The 1,129-nt window shown below is 40.8% G+C and overlaps 1 annotated feature.

The window, feature by feature from the left end:
• Positions 295-904: an enhancer, noted in NCBI's record as "OCT4-NANOG-H3K27ac hESC enhancer chr2:52667173-52667782 (GRCh37/hg19 assembly coordinates)". NCBI's record gives its function as "activates a minimal SCP1, AML or CMV promoter by ChIP-STARR-seq in naive H9 embryonic stem cells {active_cell/tissue: H9 hESC(naive)}" and the evidence as "EXISTENCE:reporter gene assay evidence [ECO:0000049][PMID:30033119]".

A 1,129-nucleotide genomic window follows, 5' to 3' on the forward strand; every position in this document is an offset into this window, starting at 1 on the left:
TTTTTTTTTTTTTTTTGAGATGGAGTCTTGCTGTGTCTCCCAGGCTGGAGTGCAGTGGCGTGATCTCCGCTCACTGCAAGCTCCACCTCCCGGGTTCATGCCATTCTGCTACCTCAGCCTCCGGAGTAGCTGGGACTACAGGCGCCCGCCATCAGGCCTGGCTAATTTTTTTGTATTTTTAGTAGAGATGGGGTTTCACCGCGTTAGCCAGGATGGTCTCAATCTCCTGACCTCGTGATCCGCCCACCTCGACCTCCCAAAGTGCTGGGATTACAGGCGTGAGCCACCGCGCCCGGCCTACTCCAAACTTTTGTGGAGAAGAATCAATATAGAGATTAGGAAAAAAAAAATCTGATCCTAGAAGTGATGAGTTAAATTATTATGCAAAGAATTGTATTGTACTTTATGAAAGATAGTGATCAAGATGGACTTAACATTCTCTTCAGCTTGACTAAACTATAGACAGCCTTCCACAGCACTATAAACTCCTCACCTCCCTTGTCCTAGAGCATTTACTTTAGAAAACTTGCAATTGTAGATCCTTTCTCTGCCCCTTTGAGATGTAAATCTTCTCCCAAATACTTGCCAGCTGTAATACCTAGGAATGTCTTCAAAGATCAGTGAGTCATTCCTTTGAAATGTAGTCACCCAAGAAAGATAAGACGTCCATGTCTTTATGAAAGGCTAGAATTCTAACTTTGTTAAGTACCAATTAGCAAACATAGATGGTCCAATAGCACTGACCAACTTTCCTTCCTTAAAGTCCTCCAACACATGTCCACTAGTTCATCCCAGTGCTTATAAGTCTCCAGCCATTTATTTCAGGAGAGTTGAGTTTAAATTCTTTTCCCTATTGCAATAACCTTGACCTATTTCAATAGTCTTGAATAAAGTGTTCCATGCTTATTTGACTCCATCTAGTGCATATTTTCTTTGACAATAGAAATAACTCCTTCCTAGATTCATTTACATACAGCCCTAATTAAAGGAAAGAAAATACATTAAAGCATTTCTTGAAGGTTTTAAGTTTCTCGAATGGGGAAACACAAAGCAAAATGACTTTTAAGATCATTGGTTATTTCAGAAGGTGATACCTGCTCCATAGTTTTAACACGGTCATGGGGCCTTT

This window comes from Homo sapiens, chromosome 2 (genome assembly GCF_000001405.40).
Source record: "Homo sapiens chromosome 2, GRCh38.p14 Primary Assembly".
Lineage (NCBI taxonomy): Eukaryota > Metazoa > Chordata > Mammalia > Primates > Hominidae > Homo > Homo sapiens.